The sequence below is a fragment of the Homo sapiens genome, chromosome 20 (genome assembly GCF_000001405.40).
Source record: "Homo sapiens chromosome 20, GRCh38.p14 Primary Assembly".
In the NCBI taxonomy this organism is placed as follows: domain Eukaryota; kingdom Metazoa; phylum Chordata; class Mammalia; order Primates; family Hominidae; genus Homo; species Homo sapiens.
In genome coordinates, this window is record NC_000020.11 from 34350827 (window position 1) to 34373610 (window position 22784).

Sequence of the window (22784 nt, forward strand, 5' to 3'; positions counted from 1 at the left end):
ATTTTTAAAAGGAAAGAAAAGAAAAGCAAGTAAGGCAGGTTAAGTTTGTTTGTTTGTTTTTGAGACTGAAATCTCCAGTGAGAACTTTAGGCAAGAAATTATTCAGGTCTGTAATTTGTAGAGATAGGCCAGTGGGGCTTTCCTGGAAGAAGGATAACTTTAGGTTTGAGAACAAGAAAAGAAGGAACTGAGGATAATGAGCAGGACTAGAAGAAGCTCTGACATGCTGATTATTATCTAAGGCTGTTCTTTAGTCTTGCAGTTGCCCCTCTGAAGCTCAAATCTCCCCAAAATTGCAGGGGGATGTGCTGAGAGCTCCTTATGGTGATCTATTTTTATAACTTTTTTTTTTTTTGAGATGGAGTCTTGCTCTATTGCCCAGGCTGGAGTACAGTGGCGTGATCTTGGCTCACTGCAACCTCTGCCTCCTGGATTCAAGCGATTCTTCTGCCTCAGCCTCCTGAGCAGCTGGGATTACAAGTGCGCGCCACCATGCCCAGCTAATTTTTGTATTTTTAGTAGAGACAGCGTTTCACCATGTTGGTCAGGCTGGTCTTAAACTCCTAACCTCGTGATCCGCCCACCTCACCTCTCAGATTGCTGGGATTATAGGCGTGAGCCACTATGCCCAGACTTTTTCTTTCTTTCTTTCTTTTTTTTTTTTTTTGAGATGAAGTCTTGCTCTGTCACCCAGGCTGGAGTGCAATGGCGCGATCTCGGCTCACTGCAACCTCCGCCTCCCAGGTTCAAATGATTCTCCTGTCTCAGCCTCCCGAGTAGCTGGGATTACAGGCATGGTATGCCAGGGTAATTTCTGTATTATTAGTAGAGATGGAGTTTTACCATGTTGGCCAGGCTGGTCTTGAACTCCTGACCTCAGGCGATCCATCCACCTCAGGCTCCCAAAGTGTTGGGATTACAGGCATGAGCCACTGTGCCCGGCCTATAACTTTTTTTTTCCTACTTCTAATTCAGTATAGAAAATTTGAAGGATACAGAAAAAGAGACTCTTCCTATCATTGATTCAGGAAGAGGCAGTTGTGATGAAGTTGAAAGAGACAATCCTGAGTTCCAATCTCAGATCTGTTTCTTGCATTCACTGTGAATTTTGGCCAGTCACTTTAGCCTTCTGAACCTGTTTCTTCCTCTATGAAAGTGGGAATCACAGTGACTCCTACCTCACTGGGTAGCTGTGGGATGAATAAAGGCACATCTAGTTCATAAACACACGGTGGGCACTCAATATATGTCCTTGTCTCCTCCTTTCTGTTTACAGAGAGGTTTCATTCAAGCATTTCCTGAGCACCCTTAAGGTGTCACTACGTGCCAGAAGACACATGAGTATGGACAAGACTGGCTCTTTCTCCTTGAAAGGCTTATGGATAGTCCAGGCTCAGCGACTCACGCCTGTAATCCCAGCACCTTGGGAGGCTGAGGTGGGCAGATCCCCTGAGGTCAGGAGTTCCAGACCAGCCTGACCAATATGGAGAAACCCCTTCTCTACTAAAAATATAAAATTAGCTGGGCGTGGTGGTGCATGCCTGTAATCCCAGCTACTCAGGAGGCGGAGGCAGGAGGATCGCTTGAACCCGGGAGGCGGAGGTTGCAGTGAGCCAAGATCGCGCCATTGCACTCCAGCCTGGGCAACAAGAGCAAAACTCCGTCTCAGAAAAAAAAAAAAGGCTTATGGTTTGGGGAGGGAGGAAGGAGGAAATCTTCCCAGATTAAATGGTCCAAACTCCTGCCTCAAGATAAATTAAAAAAAAAATACATTTGACCTCAATTTCCAGATGTCAGCAGAGGCCCAGAGAGGCAAGGTCACATGGCAAATAAATAGTAGGAAGGGAACTTGAACCCGATTAGGAGGAATATTGGGAAAAGAGCAAGGAGGAAGGAACTTTGTAAATAAAGTCATGCTAGTTTGTAGCCCAAAAAAGAGGAACAATAGAAGATGGAGCTGGCTGCAAATGGATCAGGGACTGGAAATTCATCTATGAAAATCGACTGCATTTTTTTTTTTTTTGAGATGGAATCTTGTTCTGTCACCCAAGCTGGAGTGCAATGGGGTCATCTCAGCTCACTGCAAACTCCGCCTCACAGATTCAAGCGATTCTCCTGCCTCAGCCTCCTGAGTAGCTGGGATTACGGGCTCATGCCCCCACACTCGGCTAATTTTTGTGTGTTTAGTAGAGATGAGGTTTCACCATGTTGGCCAGGCTGGTCTCGAACTCCTGACCTCAAGTGATCCACCCGCCTTGGCCTCCCAAAGTACTGGGATTACATGCGTGAGCCACTGTGCCCAGCCTTTTTGGGTTTTTGTTTATATGTTTGTTTTTGAGACAAAGTCTCACTCTGTCACCCAGGTTTGAGTGCAGTCGGGCGAACATGGCTTATTGTAGCCTTGACCTCCTAGGCTCATTTGATCCTCTCCCCTCAGCCTTTTGCCAACACAGCTGGCTAATGTTTTTATTTTAGTTTAGTAGAGACAGGGTCTTACTATGTTGCTCAGGCTTGGGCTGCATTTTGCTTGTGCAAGATTTCCTCCCAATACTATATTATGAAAATTTTCAAACATATAAAGCAGTTGAAAGAACTGTATAGTGAATGCTCATCTACCCATTACCTAGATTCTACAATTGTTAACTGTTTGCTACATTTGCTTTGTTGCATATTTATTCATTCATCTGTTTCTCCATCTCTCCTCCCATCCATCTTACTATTATTTTTTTGAGACAGAGTTTCACTCTGTCGCCCAGGCCAGAGTGCAGTGGCATCATTTCTGCTTACCGCAACCTTCACCTCCCAGTTTCAAGCAATCCTTCTGCCTCAGCCACCCAAGTAGCTGGGATTACAGGCATGTGGCAGCAAGCCCGGCTAATTTTTGTGTTTTTAGTAGAGATGGGGTTTCGCCATGTTGGCCAGCCTGGTCTTGAACTCCTGACCTCAAGTGATACACCTGCCTCGGCCTCCCAAAGAGCTGGGATTACAGGCCTGAGCCACCGTGCCTGGCCTGTTTATTTATTTTTTGAGAGAGAGTATCTCTTTATTGCCCAAGCTGGATTGCAGTGGCAAGATCAAGGCTCACTGGAGCTTCAACCTCCAGGGCTCAAGCAGTTCTCCCACCCCAGCCTCCTGAGTAGTTGGGACTATAGGCATGAGCCATTACACCCAGCTTTTTTTTTTTTTTTTTTTTTTTTTGAGACAGAGTTTTGCTCTGTCGCCCAGGCTGGAGTGCAGTGGTGTGATCTCGGCTCACTGCAACCTCCGCTTCCCAGGTTCAAGTGATTCTCCTGCCTCAGCCTCCCAAGAAGCTGGGATTACAGGCGTCTGCCCCCATGCCCAGCTAATTTCTGTATTTTTAGTAGAGACAGGGTTTCACCAGGTTGGCCAGGCTGGTCTCAAACTCCTGACCTCAGTGCTAGGATTACAGGTGTGAGCCACTGTGCCCAGTCCCATCTAATTTTTTTGATTTTTGATGCATTTCAAAGAAGTTGCAGAGTTCACTACCTCTAAACACTTCAGCATGCCTATCATTAACTACAATTTACTATTTGTTTCTGAATTTTTGGGGTTTTGTTTGTTTGTTTTTGAGACAAAGTCTTGCTCTGTTGCCCAAGCTACAGTGCAGTGGCGAGACCTTGGCTCACTGAAACCTCCACTTCCCGGGTTCAAGCAGTTCTCCTGCCTCAGCCTCCCGAGTAGCTGGGATTATAGGCACCTGCCACCATGCCTGGCTAGTTGTTTGGTATTTTTAGTAGAGATGGGGTTTCACCATGTTGGTCAGGCTGGTCTTGAACTCCTGACCTCAGGTGGTCCATCCGCTTCGGCCTCCCAAAGTGCTGGGATTACAGGCGTGAGCCACCGTGCCTGGCCTAGGTGGGTTTTTGTTTTTTGTTTTGTTTTGTTTTGTTTTGTTTGAGACAGAGCCTCACTCTGTTGCCCAGGCTGGAGTGCAGTGGCACAATTTCGGCTCACTGCAATCTCCACCTGCCAGGTTCAAGCGATTATTGTGCCTCAGCCTCCCAAGTATCTGGGATCGCAGGTGTATGCCACCACACCTGGCTAATTTTTTTTTTTTTTTGTATTTTTAGTAGAAACAGGGTTTCTCCATGTTGGCCAGGCTGGTCTCAAACTCCTGACCTCAAGTGATCCGCCCACCTTGGCCTCCCAAAGTGCTGGGATTACAGGTGTGAGCCATCGAGGCTGGCCTAAATGTTATTTTTTATTTTACCTGGATGGTCCTAGGAGGCATTTAACTTTATTACCCCTGATCTAGAAAGTGTATTATAAAGCCTTGGAAGTAGAGTTGCCAAATAAAATATAGAATGCCCAGTTAAATTTTAATTTTAGATAAACAATGAGAAAAATTTTAGTAATAGTATGTTACATGCAATAGCTGCACATATTTATACTAAAAATTATCTGTTGTTTATCTGAAATTCAAATTTAACTGGGCATTCTATATATTTATTTTCTAAATCTGGCAACCTGGGACCACGGACAGAACTTGTGTACCTTATTTCAAGGAGAAGTAAACATTCTTAAACAGAAATAATAAGCCATCACACCTAGCCTTAAGTGGTCTCTTTGGATCCAGATCTCAGGCCCTCAGAAGTCTCGTGGTGTCTTCTCTCCATTAACACACAGTTTTTCAAACCTTCCTCTGGCAAGTGAAAGCAAAGAGGCTCCAGGAAAGAGGGGGACAGCAGTATGACTAAGTGTTCTGCAGGGAAATCTGGTAAGAGGCAGGTGGCATGTGGGCCGCTGGGGTTTTTCTCCCAACTCCTTCCAGCTCTGCATCCCTGCTTCCTGCCCTCCTCCTCTCCTAGGAGGCCTAGGAACCTCCTTCCCTTGCTGGTGACAGGCTCCTCCAGGTTTCTGGCCCCTGCTTTAGCAGGGCTAGTCCTGTCCTGGATTGGCACAGGTGTCATAGGCAGAAGGAAGGTAAAGGTGGCTCAGTTTTATCAACCACTGATCCTGCATTCTGACCAGGCCAAGACCAGGCTGAGTTCTGGATCAGGGAACTTGGGAGCTAGAACCACATAGCATGGGAGAATGAGGAAATGGCCAGGCTGGGATTCCCTGCCCTCACAAACTCGGCTTCTTCTTGGACAATCACCAACTACAAACCCGGGATGTTCTAGAATCTTTACAACATCCTAGGAGGTAGGTTCTATTAGATTCATTTAGAGATTTGGATACTGAGGTTCAGGTGACTTTGCCTAAGAACCCCTGCCCCCCCGCCCCCACCCCACAAGCAATTTATTGACATAATAAGGACTAGATCCTTGATACATATGCCGCTGAAGCCGAAATTACTAACTCCTGTTAGATGCTGCCTCGCAGATGAGAGCTGACCCATCCTGTTGGCATTAGTAAGAAGGTTAGGATAGCATAGTCCAGTGGTTCTCAAAGTATCATGCTAGGTGGGCATCAGCATTACCTGGAACTTGTTAGAAATGTAATTTCTCAGCTCGGCGCGGTGGCCCATGCCTGTAATCCCAGCACTTTGGGAGTCCCAGGCAGGTGGATCACCTGAGGTCAGGAGTTCGAGACCAGCCTAGCCAACATGGTGAAACCCTGTCTCTACTAAAAATACAAAAAATTAGCTAGGCATGGTGGCGGGCACCTGTAATCCCAGCTACTCGGGAGGCCGAGGCAGGAGAATTGCTTGAACCCCGGAGGCAGAGGTTGCAGTGAGCCGAGATCACGCCATTGCACTCCAGCCTGGGCAACAAGAGTGAAACTCCATCTAAAAAAAAAAAAAAGAGAAATGCAGTTTCTCGGTCCTAACAGAGCTTCTTGACTCAGAAATTCCTGGGTGACACCTAGCAATCTGAGTTTTATCAAGTCCTTCAGGCGATTCTGGTGCACTATAAAGTTTTAGAATCATTGATATGTAGTAGAAAGAGATGCCTTTTTTTTTTTTTTTTTTTTTTTTTTTTTTTTGAGATGGAGTCTCACTCTGTCACCCAGGCTGGAGTGCAGCGGCACGATCTCGGCTCACTGCAAGCTCTGCCTCCCAGGTTCACGCCATTCTCCTGCCTCAGCCTCCCGAGTAGTTGGAACTACAGGCACCTGCCACCACGCCCAGCTAATTTTTTGTATTTTTTAGTAGAGACAGGGTTTCACCATGTTAGCCAGGATGGTCTCGATCTCCTGACCTCGTGATCCACCCACCTCGTCCTCCCAAAGTGCTGGGATTACAGGTGTGAGCCACCGCGCCCAGCTGGAGATGCATTTTTTAAACAAAATGAGTTTCATTTATTTATTTATATTACTATTATTAGAGATGGAGTCTCTCTGTGTTGTGCAGGGTGGTCTAGAACTCCTTACCTCAAAGGATCCTCCTGCCTCAGCCTCCCAAAGTGCTGGAATTATGGGCATGAGACACTACTCCTGGCCAATATCCATTTAAAACATATATTTGGGACCGGGCATGGTGGCTCACACTTGTAATCCCAGCACTTTGGGAGACTGAGGCCAGTGAATCACCAGAGGTCAGGAGTTCAAGACCAGCCTGGCCAACATGGTGAAACCCTGTCTCTAGTAAAAATACAAAAAAATTAGCTGGGCATGGTGGCAGGCGCCTGTAATCCCAGCTACTTGGGAGGCTGAGGCAGGAGCTAAGATTGCGTCACTGCACTCCAGCTTGGGCGACAGAGCAAGACTCTGTCTCAAAACAAAAAAATATATATTTAGAGGCTGAGATGGGAGGATTGCTTGAGCCCAGGAGTTTGAGGCTGCTATGATCACACCATTGCACTCCAGCCTAGGTGACAGAGACCTTGTCTGTAAATAAATAAAAATGAAATAAAATAAAACATGTATTTGTTTTAAGTAAACTTTTATTGATGTATAATATGAATAGAGAAAAATGCAGAAATCATAAGTATATGGCTTAATTAATTTTCACAAAGTGAGAAAGCCTGTGTACTGTCAGAGGCTTTTGAACCAGAGCAACTCCATCTTGAATAGGGGCTGGGCAAAATAAGGCTGAGACCTACTGGGCTGCATTTCCAGGAGGTTAGGCATTCTTCATTCTTTTTTTCAGACGGAGTCTTACTCTGTTGCCCAGGCTGGAATGCAGTGGCATGATCCTGCTCACTGCAACATCTGCCTCCTGGGTTCAAACAATTCTCCTGCCTCAGCCTCCCAAGTAGCTGGGACTACAGGCGCCTGCCATCACTCTTGGCTCATTTTTGTATTTTTAGTAGAGACAGGGTTTCACCATATTGGTCAGGCTGGTCTCGAACTGCTGACCTTGTGATCCACCTGCCTCGGCCTCCCAAAGTGCTGGGATTACAGGCGTGAGAGGTTAGGCATTCTAAGTCACAGAATGAGAGGGGTTTGGCACAAGATACAGGTCATAAAGACCTTGCCAAAAAAGAAGTTAGCTAAAACCCACCAAAACAAAGATGGCAATTAAAGTGACCTCTGGTCATCCTCACTGCTCATTATATGCTAATTATAATGGATCGGCATGCTAAAAGACACTCCCACCAGTGCCATGACAGTTTACAGATGCCACGGCAACATCCAGAAGTTACCCTATAAGGTCTAAAAAGGGGAGTAACCCTCAGCTCTGGGAATTGGCCACCCCTTTCCTGGAAAACTCATAAATAATCCACCCCTTGTTTAGCATATAATCAAGAAATAACTCTATCCTTAGACCAGCATCTCGAGCCATTGCTCTGACTATGGGGTAGCCATTCTTTTATTCCTTTACTTTCTTTTTTTTTTTTTAGAGGGAGTCTTGCTCTGTCTCCCAGGCAGGAATGCAGTGGCAGGATCTCCGCTCACTGCAACCTCTACCTCCTGGGTTCAAGCGATACTCCTGCATCAGCCTCCTGAGTAGCTGGGATTACAGACGTGCGTCACCATGCCTGCCTAACTTTTTTTGTATTTTTAGTAGAGATGGGGTTTCACCATGTTGGCCAGGATGGTCTCAAACACCTGACTTCCAGTGATCCACCCGCCTCAGCCTCCCAAAGTGGTGTGATTACAGGTGTGAGCCACCACGCTCGGCCTCCTTTACTTTCTTTTTTCTTTTTCTTTTTTTTTGAGATGGAGTCTTGCTCTGTTGCCCAGGCTGGAGTGCAGTGGTACGATGTCGGCTCACTGCAGCCTCCACCTTGCCTCCTGGGTCCTGGTTCAAGCAATTCTCCTGCCTCAGCCTCTGGAGTAGCTGGTATTATAGGCGCACGTCACCACGCCCAGCTAATTTTTGTATTTTTAGTAGAGGTGGGGTTTCACTATGTTGGCCAGGCTGGTCTTGAACTCCTGACCTCGTGATCCACCCCCCTCAGCCTCCCAAAGTGCTGGGATTACAAGCGTTAGCCACCACGCCCGGCCCCTTTACTTTCTTAATAAACTCATTATCGGCTGGGTGCCGTGGCTCATGCCTGTAATCCCAGCACTTTGGGAGGCCGAGGCAGGTGGATCACCTGAGGTCAGGAGTTCAAGATCAGCCTAGCCAACATGGTGAAACTCCACCTCTGCTAAAAATACAAAAATTAGCTGGGTGTGGTGGTGTGCGCCTGTAATCCCAGTTACTCAGGAGGATGAGGCAGGAGAATCACTTGAACCCAGGAGGCGGAGGTTACAGTGAGCTGAGATTGCCCCACTGCACTCCAGCCAGGGTGACAAGAGCAAAACTCTGTCTGAAAAAGAATAATAAATAAATAACTTGTTTTCACTTTATTGTATGGACTTGCCCCAAATTCTTTCCTGCACGAGATCCAAGAACCCTCTCTTGGGGTCTGAATCAGGACCCTTTTCCTGAAACAGTAACACCACCCAGATCAGGGCACAGAACATTATTACCTATCCTGAGAGGTGTCTTTGTGCCTTCTTCCAGGTACACCCTCCCCTCAAAGAGTAACCAGTATCCTGACTTCTAACACCATAGACTAGTTTTGCCTAACCTTACATAGTTTTTAAAATTGTAGGTGAATACAGAATCTGGAGCTACAGGACTTAGGGTTAGATCCCTGGTTCCTGGCTGAGTGATCTTCAACAAGCCATTTAATTTCTGTCACACTCAGTTTTCTTCTCTGTATAATGGTCATAAAAATACCTTGTACTGGCCGGGTGCGGTGGCTCACGCCTATAATCCCAGCACTTTGGGAGGCTAAGGCGGGCAGATCACAAGCTCAAGAGTTCAAGACCAGCCTGGCCAATATGGTGAAACCCCATCTCTACAAAAATACAAAAATTAGTCAGTCGTGGTGGCATGCACCTGTAATCCCAGCTGCTCGGGAGGCTGAGGCGGGAGAATCGCTTGAACCCGGGAGGCAGAGGTTGCAGTGAGCGGAGGTTGGGCCACTGCACTCAAGCCTGGGCGACAGAGTGAGACTCAGTCTCCAAAAAAAAAAAAAGCAAATTCTCAGGCCCTGCCCCAGACCTACTGAATCAGAAACTCTAGGAGTGGCCTCAGCAACCTACAGTTTAACTAACTTTGCAGGCAATTCTGATAAGTACTGAGGTTTGAAAACCACTGCACTAGAGAAACTGAATGAGGATGGGGCGCAGGAATCTGTATTTTAGCAATCTTTCCTAAGGCATGTTGCAGGAAACATGAAGTGGTTTTGAAAGTACTTTGCTTGAGGCTTGAAGGCTTGAACCTAGGAGTTTGATTTTTTATTTTTTTTAGATGGGGTTTCACTCTGTCACTCAGGATGGAGTGCAGTGGCGTGATCTTGGCTCACTGCAGTCTCCGTCTCCTGAGTTCAAGCAATTCTCCCACCCCAGCCTCCCGAGTAGCTGAGATTACAGGGGTGTGCCATGCCCAACTAATTTTTGCATTTTTTTTTTTGAGACAGATTCTCGCTCTGTGGCCCAGGATGGAGTGCAGTAGCACGATCTTGGCTCACTGCAACCTCCGCCTCCCAGGTCCAAGCAATTCTCTGCCTCAGCCTCCTGACTAGCTGGGATTACAGGCACCCGCCACCACGCCCGGCTAATTTTTGTATTTTTAGTAGAGATAGGGTTTCACCATGATAGCCAGGCTGGTCTTGAACTCCTGATCTCGTGATCCGCCCGCCTTGGCCTCCCAAAGTGCTGGGATTATAGGCGTGAGCCACCGTGCCCGGTCTAATTTTTGCATTTTTAGTAGAGATGGGGTTTCACCATGTTAGCCAGGCTGGTCTTGAACTCCTGACCTCAGTTGATCCATCCGCCTCGGCCTCCCAAACCATGCCCAACAAATTTTTGCATTTTTAGTAGAGACAAGATTTCACCATGTTGGCCAGGCTGGTCTCAAACTCCTGACCTCAGGTGATCCACCCGCCTCAGCCTCCCGAAGTGCTGGGATTATAGGAGTGAGCTACTGCGCCCAGCCTTTATGTTTCTTTTGTTGTTTGTTTTTTGAGACAGAGTCTCGCTGAGTCGCCCAGGCTGGAGTGCAATGGCGTGATCTTGGGTCACTGCAACCTCCCCCTCCTGGGTTCAATCAATTATCGTGCTTCAGCCTCCCAAGTAGCTGGGATTACAGGCACCCGCCACCACACCTGGCTAATTTTTGTGTTTTTAGTAGGGAAGGGGTTTCACAAGGCTAGGCGTGGTGGCTCACCCAACTCTACTAAAAATACAAAAATTAGCCAGGCGTGATGGCATGCGCTTGTAGTCCCAGCTACTTAGGAGGCTGAGACAGGAGAATCACTTGAACCCAGGAGGCGAGCGGAGGTTGCAGTGAGCCAAGATTGCGCCACTGCACTCCAGCCTGGGCGACAGAGCAATACTCTGTCTCAAAAAAAAAAAAAAAAAAAAAAAGAGACGGGGTTTCACCATGTTGGCCAGACTGGTCTCAAACTCCTGACCTCAAGTGATTTGCCTGCCTTGGCCTCCCTAACTCCTGGGATTACAGGTGTAAGCCACTGACCCTAGCCAAGCCTAGGAGTCTGAGAACAGCCTGGGCAACACAGGGAGTCCACGTCTCTACAAAAATAAAAACAATTAGGATAGTGTGGTGGCTTGAGCCTGGAGTCCCAGCTACTCAGGAAGCTGAGGTGAGAGGATCACTTGAGCCCAGGAGGTTGGCTGCAGTGAGCTATGATTGCACCGCTGCACTCCAGGTTGGGTGACAGAGCAAGACTCTGTCTCAAAAAAAAAAAAAAAAAAAAAGTCACTTTGAAAAATGTGACTTTCCAGATGGCAAAATACTATTTTCATTAGGAGGAAACAGGCTAAACAGTAATAGCAAAGGTCACTAAGTATTGAGCACTTAGTCATACCTCTGAGTCTCTGCCTGCATAGCCTATTATTTCTCACAAGCAATCCATGAAGAAGGTTAAGACAACGGACTTTCACGCCAGACTGCCTGGGTTCTTATCAAGTATGTGACTTAGTTTATATATTTGTAAAATGGGGATAATAATGGTATTTCTGTAATAGGTTTGTTGTGAGAATAAAGGGAGCTTGGTATCAGCTCTTAGAATACCGGACAGGCCACGTTGGCTCCACTAAGCTGTTGTCATCATCCCTAAGGGCACCCAGTTAAAAGGTAGAAAAGGGAGGATTTGAATCCGGTCAGTGTAACTCTCAAGTGTACATTTTTTTTCTTTTATTTTCTTTTTAACCACGCCCTTTAATGTACATTGTTAAAGGCTAAGCCAGGCCAGGTGCAGTGGCTCACATCTGTAATCTCAGCGATTGGGAGGCCCGAGGAGGGAGTATCGCTTGAGCCCAGGAGCTGGAGACCAGCCTGGGCAACATGGCGACACCGTGGCCCTATTCCCGCCCCATCCCATCCGCACTCCACCCCATCCCCATCTCTACAAAGAATAGAACAAAATTAGTCGGGTGTGGTGGTGCTCAACTGCTGTCCCAGCTACTCAGGAAGCCCAGGTGGGAGGCTCGCTTGAGCCCAGGAGTGTGAGGCTGTAGTGAGCTATGACTGCACCACTGCACTCCAGCCTGGGTGAAGGGTGAGACCTTATCTCAAAAAGAAGAAAAAAAAAGAAAAGGAAAAGAAAAAGAAAAAAGAACAACTAAGTTATAAACTAAGCTATATAGCCCATTGGTTCTCAAATTATGATTTCACTCACTAGCAGTATCACTAGACAGCTTGTTGGACATGCAAATTATCAGACCCTATCCTCCTATGCCAGATCTTCTGATCAGAAACTCTGGGGGTGGGGGTCAGCAGTGTAAGTTTTAATAAGCTCTCTAGGTGATTCTGATGCACACCATAGTTTGAGAATCACAGTCCTTATAGGCTCTGGTGGGCGGGGTGTTAAAAAAAAAAAAAAGCCTGGAGGTGCTGGGAGCCGCTCGCGCCCATCTCACCTGGAGCTGAGGAAAACTGGGATTTAACTGATTTACCACCGCAGCCAGCTCTTCAAGCCAGGGGCGGGCCGGACGGCTGGCGCGCAAGGCCTGCTGGGGCTTGTAGTCTAGACCACTTCCGCGCTCAGGCGCCTGCGCTTTAGCTGCTAACTCGCTCTAGTAGCTGTGGTCGGGGCTCGGGACCGGCTGCCATCTTAGTCTAGGGACTGAGGAGTCGCCGCCGCCCCGAGTCCCGGTAAACCCCCGTGGGCGAACTCGGGGCAGTTCTCGGGAGAGGGAGGGAGTCCGGATGAGAATGTTCGGGGAGAACAAGGGTAGAGGAGTGGGACGCGCGGTTCGGGACCCCAGAGCCGCGGCTGCTCCTTCTTCCAGAGCCGGTGTCTGTCGGGGGCGCGGGGAGCTCGGGCTACTGGCCCGGGCCGGGCGGTGGGGGTGGGCTGTCTGGACGTTCGGAGGGATCAGTGTCTGGCACAGGCTTCCGGAGGCCTTCGCCTCGCGGGCTCCAAGTTGTGAAAGGGCTGGGCCACGACGGGCGTGGGTACCGTCCGGCCCCTCGCCCCTCAGCCCCGCCTGGGGCCACTCTCCAGCGGTTCGGCCTACGCGCGGGGCCCGGCGGCGGGGCCGGCGCGGGCGACGTGGCCCTGTGAGGGGCGGCGGCCGGGTCCCCCGCCACCCAGCTGGCCTTCTCGAGACTTTTCCGAGCCCCCAGTCGCTAGAAGGGCCCAGCACAGCGGCTGCCTCCCCTTCTCTCTCCCACTCGCCTCCTCCTTCCATTGTCCCCCCGGCGTGGTGGTCCCGGCTCCGGCGCCCTCCCCGACGTCCGCCACCGTCGTGGCGGCGCCGACTTTTGCAGACGTGGAGCTGTCACTGCCCTTCCTCCGGAGAGTGCCCTTTTCTTTAGCAGAGAAAAGAAAAAAGTAGCCGTTGAACGTATTCTAAGGGTCGAAGCATGATGACATGACTTTTAAGTGGAGAACTCAAGTTTTCCAAGACAGTTCCCGTCCGCGACAGAAAAGAGAATCGCAGAATTTGTGCGCCCGAAGTAGACGCTGGGCCTAAAGTTAGTTGGACATGTAACCAGGTGAACTTGTAAAGGGCCAGGAATTCATTATCCCCAATAACAACGCAACCTTGTTTTCTTGGTTGTATTCGTATCCTAATCTTATTACATTTTCTGCCATTCTTCCACAGCTACAGTATACTTGGTTTGGAGTGGGGGATGGGGAATTGTGGGATTTTTGCCTTGAAAATTAGTAAGACCCTGGAGCCAGCCACCCACTTAGGTGGGTTCTCCTGCATCTTTTCCTGATAGAATTCGATCTTCAGGAAGTATGTAAAGGCAGTGTATTTCCATTCTCAAAATCGGCTAAGGAATGGTTTATCAGTTGAGGTGAAGTTCTCATGGCAGATCTGCTGAGAGCTTGCTATGTGTATTTACAGGTTTATTTAAGCTACGATTTATTTTTAAAATTAAGAAATGGGCCGGGTGCTGTGTGTGGCTCACGCCTGTAATCCTAGCACTTTGGGAGGCCGAGGCGGGCAGATCATGAGGTCAGGAGTTCGAGACCATCCTGACCAACATGGTGAAACCCCGTCTCTACTAAAAATACAAAAAAAAAAAAAAAAAAATCCTGGGCGTGGTGGCGCGCGCCTGTAGTCCCAGCTACTAGGGAGGCTGAGGCAGGAGAATGGCTTGAACCCGGGAGGTGGAGGCTGCAGTGAGCCGAGATCTCGCTGCTGCACTCCAGCCTGGGCGACAGAGCGAGACTCCGCCTCAAAAAAAAAAAAAAAAAAAAAGCAATGGGATGGGTGTGGTGGCTCACGCCTGTAATCCCAGCAATTTGGGAGGCCGAGGTGGGCGGATTACGTGAGCCCAGGAATTGGAGATCAGCCTGGGCAACATCGTGAAACCCCGTCTCTACAAAAAATACAAAGATTTGCCGGGTGTGGTGGCAGGCGCCTGTGGTCCCAGATACTCAGGAGGCTGAGGTGGGGGAATCACCTGATTCCGGGGGGTCGAGGCTGCGGTGAGCTGTTACCGTTGCCACTGCATTCCAGCCTGGGTGACAGAGTGAGACCCTGTCTCAAAAAATAAAAAAAAAAATTTAGAAATGAAGGTGGAAATTCTACTGCTTCTTTGAACTGTGAATTTAAGTTTTGTGAGTCCAAAAGGAATTCCATTACATTCAGCATACAGGTCAAGTCACCAAGGATATCATATGAAATTAAAAAAATGAGTACAGACTACTTCTTCAGTGTATTCTAGAATCAAACATTTCTACATTCTTTAGAAAAAAATACATCTTTTTCGTTTGTTTGAGACGGAATCTAACTTTGTCACCCAGGCTGGAGTACAGTGGTGTGATCTCGGCTTACTGTAACCTCCGCCTCCCGGGTTCCAGCAATTCTTCTGCCTCAGCCTCCGTAGTAGCTGGGACTACAGGCGCGTGCCACCACTCCCGGTAATTTTTTTGTATTTTTTAGTAGAGATGGGTTTTCACCATATTGGCTAGGCTGCTCTCGAACTCCTGACCTCGTGATCCACCTGCCTTGGCCTCCCAAAGTGCTGGGTTTACAGGCATGAGCCGCCACTCCTGGCCCTAAAAAATACATCTTTTCACTTATTGGGAGAGGCAGACAAACCAGTAGTCCCCAAATTTGACCATTAGAATAATTAGGAGAGCTTAGAAATTCCAGGGTCTTACCTTCTGAGATGGATTTAGTAGGTCTGGGTTGGCTTCAACCAATTTATTTTTAACACATGCCTTAGGTAATTCTGATGGTCTTGGGAACCACTGAGGGCAAATGGTACTGTAGACTTACCAAGGAAAGGTCAAAAAGCTTTGAGACGAAAGAGGAAGTGGCCAATTCTGTGTGTGTGGCTGGGTGGAGGATTGGTTAGAAGAGGCAAGATTTGCCCCTGAACCCACATTGGGTCTTACATGAAGAGTAGGAGTGTGAAAAGGGCGGGGAAAGAGAAGGACAGGGTAGGCTGAGTGAATGCCTTAATGCTGTGTGTAAATTCAGAGGATTATGGAACAAAAAGGGTTCAGGGAGTGTGGAGTGGAATGGGGAAGGAGAGCATTTTGAAACGCAAGGTCAGAAAGGTTAAAGGAAGCAAGTATATGAAAAGTGATTTTTTGTTGTTGAGACTGGGTCTCACCCAGTCACGCAGGATGGAGTGCAGTGACAGGACCTCCAGAGCTCAAGTGATCTTCCCACCCCAGCCTCCCTGAGTAGCTGGGACAACAGGCATGCATTAGCATGCCTGGCTAATTTTTAAAATTTTTTTGTAGAGAAAGGTTCTCTTTACGTTGCCCAGTCTGGTCTTAACTCCTGTGTTCAAGTGGTCCTCCCACCTTGGCCTCCTAAAGTGTTGGGATTACAGGTGTAAGCTACTGTGCTCTGGCTAAAAATTTTAAGTATAATGCTAAAAATTTGGAATTTTATGTTGGTAGAAATAGATACAGGGCTGGGCTCAGTGCCTCACACCTGTAATCTCAACAGTTTGGGAGGCTGAGGCGGGTGAATCGCTTGAGCTCAGGAGTTTGAGACCAGCCTGGGCAACATGGTGATATCCCGTCTTTACCAAAAGGAAGGAAAAAAAAAAGAAATAGATGCAGATTTTTCGACAGGGAAATGATGTGAGTACATATGTGTTTTAGAAAATTGCTGTGTACTGCAGGACAAAGATAGGTATCAAAAAACAAAAAAAGAAAGATTGCTCTGGTGATGAGCGAAAGGATGAGGGACTAGCTATTGCAGAAGTCTAGTTGAGAAATGACAAAGCCTGACCTTGGAGAGAGGTTGTGGGGATGATCAAAGGATTGGATTTAGCTTTTTACTAGTGCAATATTGTTGCCATATTTCTAGATGAGGATTTTTTTTTAGAGCTAATCTGGGTAAAGGGCTCCTTTTCTGTCAAAAGAACCCATTAGCAAGTCTGAATAATATTGCCAGGTTATATATGTTATGTATAGTATGAGAGTGAATTGTTCATTAGCATCTTTGAGAAATTAGAAAGAACTATGTCAGGTGTAATTTGGAAGAGAACTTGAAGTTTGTTATTGTTACTATTTTTGAGATGGAGTCTTGCTCGGCCATGCAGGCTGGAGTGCAGTGATGTGATCTCGGCTCACTGCAACCTCCACCTCCCGGGTTCAAGCGATTCGTGTGCCTCAGCCTCCCAAGTAGCTGCCTCCCAAGTAGCTGGAATTAGAGGTGCATGCCACCAAGCCTGGCTAATTTAGAACTTGGAGTTTGGACTGAAATTTATGCCTCTAAAAAGTATTGATCTAGGCTTGTTGGGAGTGTTTTTCTCTCAGCCTGTAGAAACTTGCTCATTGAGTTTTAGAGTTGGGAGAAGTTACAGAGATTATCTAGTCCATAATGGCAAATATATTTTGGTTTATTGGCCAGCTCTAATTGGAAGCTGCCAGAAGCACTGTGTTTGGAAGGATTCTGGTTGTAGGTGCTCTGAGAAATTGTATTATGGTTGATCAATGATGTCTCCTGTGGACAGTTACCTAGTAGGTAGTAGACATGTGCCAAATATATGCTATTCTTAGATAAGTCCAATCTCTTAGTTTTCTGTTTTGTTGTTGTTTGTTTGTTTTAAAGGTTAAATAATTTACCTGAAACTAGTTAAGAGTAAGAACTAGAACTAGAACTGGGTTTTGCAACTCTGGGACTGGTATTCTCTGGTTTACAAAGATCAATGTGCACTACTGAAGAGCTTCTGGTATTAGACTAGAAAAAGAAAAGGGAGATTTTTAGCCTATGCGTCTTGACTGTTTAGGCAAGAGTTTAACAAGGAATTTTGGCCTAGAAGTAAGTTTTGTTATATTCATTCTGTCTTAAGAAATTTGTGTTAGGGCCGGGCGCGGTGGCTCATGCCTGTAATCCCAGCATTTTGGGAGGCTGAAGCGGGCAGATCACGAGGTCAGGAGATCGAGATCATCCTGGCCAACGTGGTGAAACCCCCATCTCTACTAAAATACAAAAAATTAGCTGGGTGTGGTGGCATGCACCTGTAGTACCAGCTACTTGGGAGGCTGAGGCAGGAGAACCACTTGAACCTGGGAGGCGGAGGTTGCAGTGAGCTGAGATTGTGCCACTGCACTCCAGCCTGGCAACAAGAATGAGACTCTGTCTCAAAAGAAAAAAAAAAAAAAATTCGTGTTAGTACTGATAGGAAATAGTCATCTGTTTTGTTGTTTTGCCACTTTCTTTCTTGTTGCCTAAGTCTCTGTTTTGGGTTTTGGACATTGGTTTCCTTTATAAGAATTAAGACAAAAGTATGTAAGGTTTTTTTTTTTGTATTTATAGTACTTAGCCAAATTCTGGGCTCATAATAAGCACTCAGTAAAGGCATGTTGACTTTTATGGCTGTAAATGATACTGGCTTTGAGTCAATATAAATTAGTTAGGGGGTTCACAGAATTGAATTGCAGCATTCTCTGGTTGGGAGGTTGGCTTTCAGCTAAAAACGTTAAGTTGGAAACTATCCTCACAACTAGAAGCAGTTAACCAGAAGCTGTTCCTGCCTCTATCCTCCTCCAGTCTAGCAGTGTACTGTCCTTGAAAAACTGCTGCCAGCTCAGCTTTTTTGCTTCTTTTCAGAACTGACTATATCCAGATCCTTGGTGTGCGTTTTCTTTTCCTGTCCCTAGGAGTCTCCAAGTTGCAGGGACTATCATTATGGTGACCCTTATAGGCTGGTGTATTTATATGGCCATCCTCATTTTGCCAGATAGCCGTCATACTCAGATTGGTGTCTTCCCATAATACGTATGAATCATTTTCCCTCAGTTCTTTCTTTTGTCCTGTCTGCTCCATTAAAAATTGTCTATCCCATGAAATTTTTAAAAGAGACTTTGTGCTTTTAGAGTCGCAAGGTCGTTGCAGATCTGATGTGTTTAACTATAGAGGTCAGCTGGGTGTGGTGGCTCACGCCTGTAATCCCAGCACTTTGGGAGGCTGAGGTGGGTGGATCACGAGGTCAGGAGTTCAAGACCAGCCTGACCAATATGGTGAAACCCCATCTCTACTAAAAATACGAAAGTTAGCCAGGCGTGGGGGTGCACGCCCGTAGTGTAGTCCCAGCTACTCAGGAGGCTGAGGCAGAAGAATCGCTTGAACCCAGGAGGCGAAGGTTGGAGTGAGCCAATATCATGCCACTGCACTCTAGCCTGGCGACAGAGCAAGACTCCATCTCAAAAACAAACAAACAAAAAAATATAGAAGTAATGTGTTAATGGACTCTCCTTCCTTTCTCAGGTACCATGCATTTCACGGTGGCCTTGTGGAGACAACGCCTTAACCCAAGGAAGTGACTCAAACTGTGAGAACTTCAGGTATGGTGTCATCCTGTGAGAGAAATTGGGGGCAAGAGTGATGCAGAGGCCAAGCTCTGGTCTTATACCTGCTGTGAGGAGAGAGCAGTGTTGATGCTAGCTGCATCAGTTGGTTGAACATATAGGCAGCTTCACTTGGTTCTGAAACCCAAAGCTGCCTCTGCAGGGATTAGCCTGTGAGCCACACTGTGCTCTTAATTTGGGTTTTCTGACTTTTCTGTTTTTGTAGATCCCTTATACATATGCATACTTTTTCTATTTGTGTTGTTTTATACACGTTTATCTCTGTATACTATCTAGACATGTGCATGTGTAGGATTAAGAGGTGGGTAATGAAAAAGAAGACAACATGGCCAGGTGCAGTGGCTCATGCCTGTAATTCCAGCACTTTGTGGGGCGAAGGTGGGAGGATCACTTGAACCCAAGAGTTTGGGACCAGCCTGGACAACATGGCGAGACCCTGACTCCACACAAAATAAAAAAAAATCAGCTGGTGTGGTGGCGTGTACCTGTAATCCTAGCTGATTGGGAGGGTGACATGGGAGGATCACTTGAGCCAGGAGGTTGAGGCTGCAGTAAGCCATGATCACGCCACTGCACTCCAGCCTGGGTGACAGAGTGAGACCCTGTCTCGGAAAAAAAAAAAAAAAAAGACAACATGGTTCAGTGCAGAAAGAATAGAGGACTTGGAAAGAAAAGATCTGGGTTCCGATTTGATTTTGCCACTGACAAGCTGTGTGACTTTCGGCGAGTTATTTAATCTTGCCAGACCTCAGTTTATACATCTGTAAAATAGGTAAGTATTGATTCCTGTCTCCATCCCTGGCATTGTTGTGTGGATCAAATAAAATAATACCTATTAAATCTTTAGAAAAGGAAATGAATTCATGACTTAAAATGTTATCTTGGCCAGGCACGGTGGCTCATACCTGTAATCCCAGCACTTTGTTTGGGAGGCCAAGGTGGGCGGATCACTTGAGGTCAGGAGTTTGAAACCAGTCTGGTCAACATGGTGAAACTCCATCTCTACTAAGAATACAAAAATTAGCAGGGTGTGATGTCATGTGCCTGTATTCCCAGTTACTTGGGTGGCTGAGGCAGGAGAATCATTTGAACCCAGGAGGTGGACACTGCAGTAAGCCAAGATCGTGCCACTATACTCCAGCCTGGGCAACAGAGTGAGAGTCTGTCTCAAAAAAAAAAAAAAGAAAAGAAATGTTATCTAGATCCACAAGGTGAGAGAAGTTGAGAGTAGTATTGTGAAGGAAAACATGAGGACAAGACAGATCACTTTAAAAGGTCAGGAGAGAAGGAAGACTACTGGGTAAGAAAAAAAAAGTAGAACATAAAGTTAAGCAGTAAGAGAATAGGGAGTGAATGAAGTTGAGCAGGTGAATTGTTAGATAAGAAAGCTGAGGCTGGGCGCGGTGGCTCACGCCTGTAATTCCAGCACTTTGGGAGGCCGAGGCGGGTGGATCACGAGGTCAGGAGATCGAGACCATCCTGGCTAACAAGGTGAAACCCCGTCTCTACTAAAAGTACAAAAAATTAGCCGGGTGTGGTGGCGGGCGCCTGTAGTCCCAGCTACTCAGGAGGCTGAGGCAGGAGAATGGTGTGAACCTGGGAGGCAGAGCTTGCAGTGAGCCGAGATCACACCACTGCACTCCAGCCTGGGCAACAGAGCCAGACTCCGTCTCAAAAAAAAAAAAAAAAAAACTGAATAGGAAGATACTGGTAAAATAGAACTAAAATATGATCCAGCATTGCCACTTTTGGGTATATATCCAAAGGAAATAAAATCACTTCTTCTTTTTTTTTTTTTTTTTTTTTTTGAGATGGAGCCTTCCCCAGGCTAGAGTGCAATGGCACGATCTTGGCTCACTGCAGCTTCTGCCCCCTGGGTTCAAGTGATTCTCTTGTCTCAGCCTCCTGAGTAGCTGGGACTCGGGAGGCCAGGCGTGCACCCACCACACCTGGCTAATTTTGTATTTTCAGTAGAGACGGGGTTTCACCACATTGGCCAGGCTGCTCTTGAACTCCTGACCTCAGGTGATCTGCCCGCCTCTGCCTCCCAAAGTGCTGGGATTATAGGCGTGAGCCACTGAGCCCGGTCCTGTTCTTTTTTATAATCAAGAGAAAGGAAGGAGATGGTGGAATGATTTGTGATAGCTACTATAAAGCAATTTAAAAAATATTTAAAAGTATTATTAAAGTATTTAAAATATCTTTAAAATATTTCTCAGCATATCCATTTCATCTCAAGCTCACAAAGCAGTTCTTTGTGGAAAGGTATTTGAGCCAACATTCAGGAAACCTGCGTTCTACCATTGGTATTACTGGTCACTTAAATTCTGTGATCTTGGGCAGCTCACTTAAATCTCCCTGGGCCTGGTTTCCTCACTTATCTATTGAATGTTTTGAATATGATTTCTCAGGTTCTTTCCAGCTCACTCTATTATATTCTGTGCTTTATGTGCTAACTCACTGATTTTTCATGGCTTTGTTGACATCACAATATATGACTGATATCAGAAATATCTTATAATAAGGCTTCGGCCGGCCGCGGTGGCTCATCCCTGTAATCCTAGCACTTTGGGAGGCTGAGGCGGGCGGATCACGAGGTCAGAAGATCGAGACCATCCTGACTAACATGGTGAAACCCCGTCTCTACTAAAAATACAAAAATTAGCTGGGCGTGGTGGCGGGCGCCTGTAGTCCCAGCTACTCGGGAGGCTGAGGCAGGAGAATGGTGTGAACCTGGGAGGCGGAGCTTGCAGTGAGCCGAGTTCACGCCACTGCACTCCAGCCTGGGCGACAGAGTGACAGAGGGATACTTTGTCTCAAAAAAAAAAAAAAAAGGCTTCATAATGTCTGATGCTTTATAAATGAGAAACCATGTTATTTTAAGTTCTACTTTTTTTTTTTTTTGAGAGGGAATCTAACTCTGTCACCCAGGCTGGAGTGCAGTGGCGCAATCTCAGCTCACTGCAACCTCCGCCTCTCGGGTTCAAGCAATTCTCCTGCCTCAGCCTCCTGAGTAGCTGGGATTACAGGCACCCGCCACCATGCCTGGCTAATTTTTTGTATTTTTAGTAGAGATGGGGTTTCACCGTGCTAGCCAGGATGGTCTCGATCTCCTGACCTCGTGATCTGCCTGCCTCAGCCTCTCAATGTGCTGGGATTACAGGCATGAGCCACCGTACCCGGCCTTTTAAGTTCTACTTTAAACATTGGCACTGAGAGACCTGTAGGAAACGTAAGTATAGAAAGTTTAAGTTTGTAATATTTGACAAGGATCTGTTGAGCTGCTATTGTGCTAGGTTCCAAGGGGTACTCAAATATAAAACTCCTGGTTTAAGGATTTTGTCAGGAAAACAGACTTCCTTGCCAGTGATTGATTATTATAAAAAGGAAGTTGGTAAATGTTACAAGAGTTTCATTGCATTGCAATTTAAGAAATTAAGTTCAGATTTTTTGGTTCCTTTAACATGATTGAATGTATTCCTTTTTTTTTTTTTTTTGAGACGGAGTTTTTCTCTTGTTGCCGAGGCTGGAGTGCAATGGTGCAATCTCAGCTTACTGCAGCCTCCACCCACTGGGTTCAAGCGATTCTCCTGCCTGAGTCTCCCAAGTAGCTGGGATTATAGGCATGTGCCACCACGCCCAGCTAATTTTGTATTTTTACTAGAGATAGGGTTTCACTGTGTTGGTGAGGCTGATCTTGAACTCCTGACCTCAAATAATCCACCTGCCTCGACCTCCCAAAGTTCTGGATTACAGGCATAAGCCACTGCACCTGGCCAAATGTATTTTTTTTTTTTTTTTGAGGCAGAGTCTTGTTCTCGCCCAGGCTGGAGTGCAGTGGTGTAATCTTGGCTCACTGCAACCTCCGTTTCCTGGGTTCAAGCCATTCTCCTGCCTCAGCCTCCTGGGTAGCTGGGATTACAGGTCCCTGCCACCATGGCCAGCTAATTTTTATATTTTTACTAGAGATGGGGTTTCACCATATTGGCCAGGCTGGTCTCAAACTCCTGACTTCAGGTGATCCGCCTGCCTTGGCCTCCCAAAGTGCTGGAATTATAGGCATTCGGCCTAACATAATTGAATGTATTTTAAGTGCTGCTGTATGCTAGACATTGC

The 22784-nt window shown here is 46.8% G+C and overlaps 1 protein-coding gene across 9 annotated transcripts in view, besides 3 other annotated features; it reads left to right on the forward strand.

Moving 5' to 3' along the window:
• ITCH (itchy E3 ubiquitin protein ligase) overlaps positions 12447 to 22784 on the forward strand; it is a 148501-nt gene continuing 138163 nt past the window's right edge. For 8 of the 9 annotated variants that reach the window (NM_001324197.2, NM_001324198.2, NM_001257137.3 and 5 more), the window contains exons 1-2: positions 12447 to 12523; positions 18568 to 18644. The gene's annotated coding sequence lies outside the window, so the exon portion shown is untranslated. Of the gene's footprint in view, positions 12524 to 18567; positions 18645 to 21875; positions 21901 to 22784 lie in introns of those variants that run through there. The other variant, XM_024452005.2, reaches the window with a different exon arrangement.
• Positions 12752 to 12981: a silencer, noted in NCBI's record as "silent region_12834". NCBI's record gives its function as "represses an Ori minimal core promoter by ATAC-STARR-seq in GM12878 lymphoblastoid cells {active_cell/tissue: GM12878}" and the evidence as "EXISTENCE:reporter gene assay evidence [ECO:0000049][PMID:35858748]".
• Positions 18276 to 18325: an enhancer, noted in NCBI's record as "active region_17763". NCBI's record gives its function as "activates an Ori minimal core promoter by ATAC-STARR-seq in GM12878 lymphoblastoid cells {active_cell/tissue: GM12878}" and the evidence as "EXISTENCE:reporter gene assay evidence [ECO:0000049][PMID:35858748]".
• Positions 18356 to 18405: an enhancer, noted in NCBI's record as "active region_17764". NCBI's record gives its function as "activates an Ori minimal core promoter by ATAC-STARR-seq in GM12878 lymphoblastoid cells {active_cell/tissue: GM12878}" and the evidence as "EXISTENCE:reporter gene assay evidence [ECO:0000049][PMID:35858748]".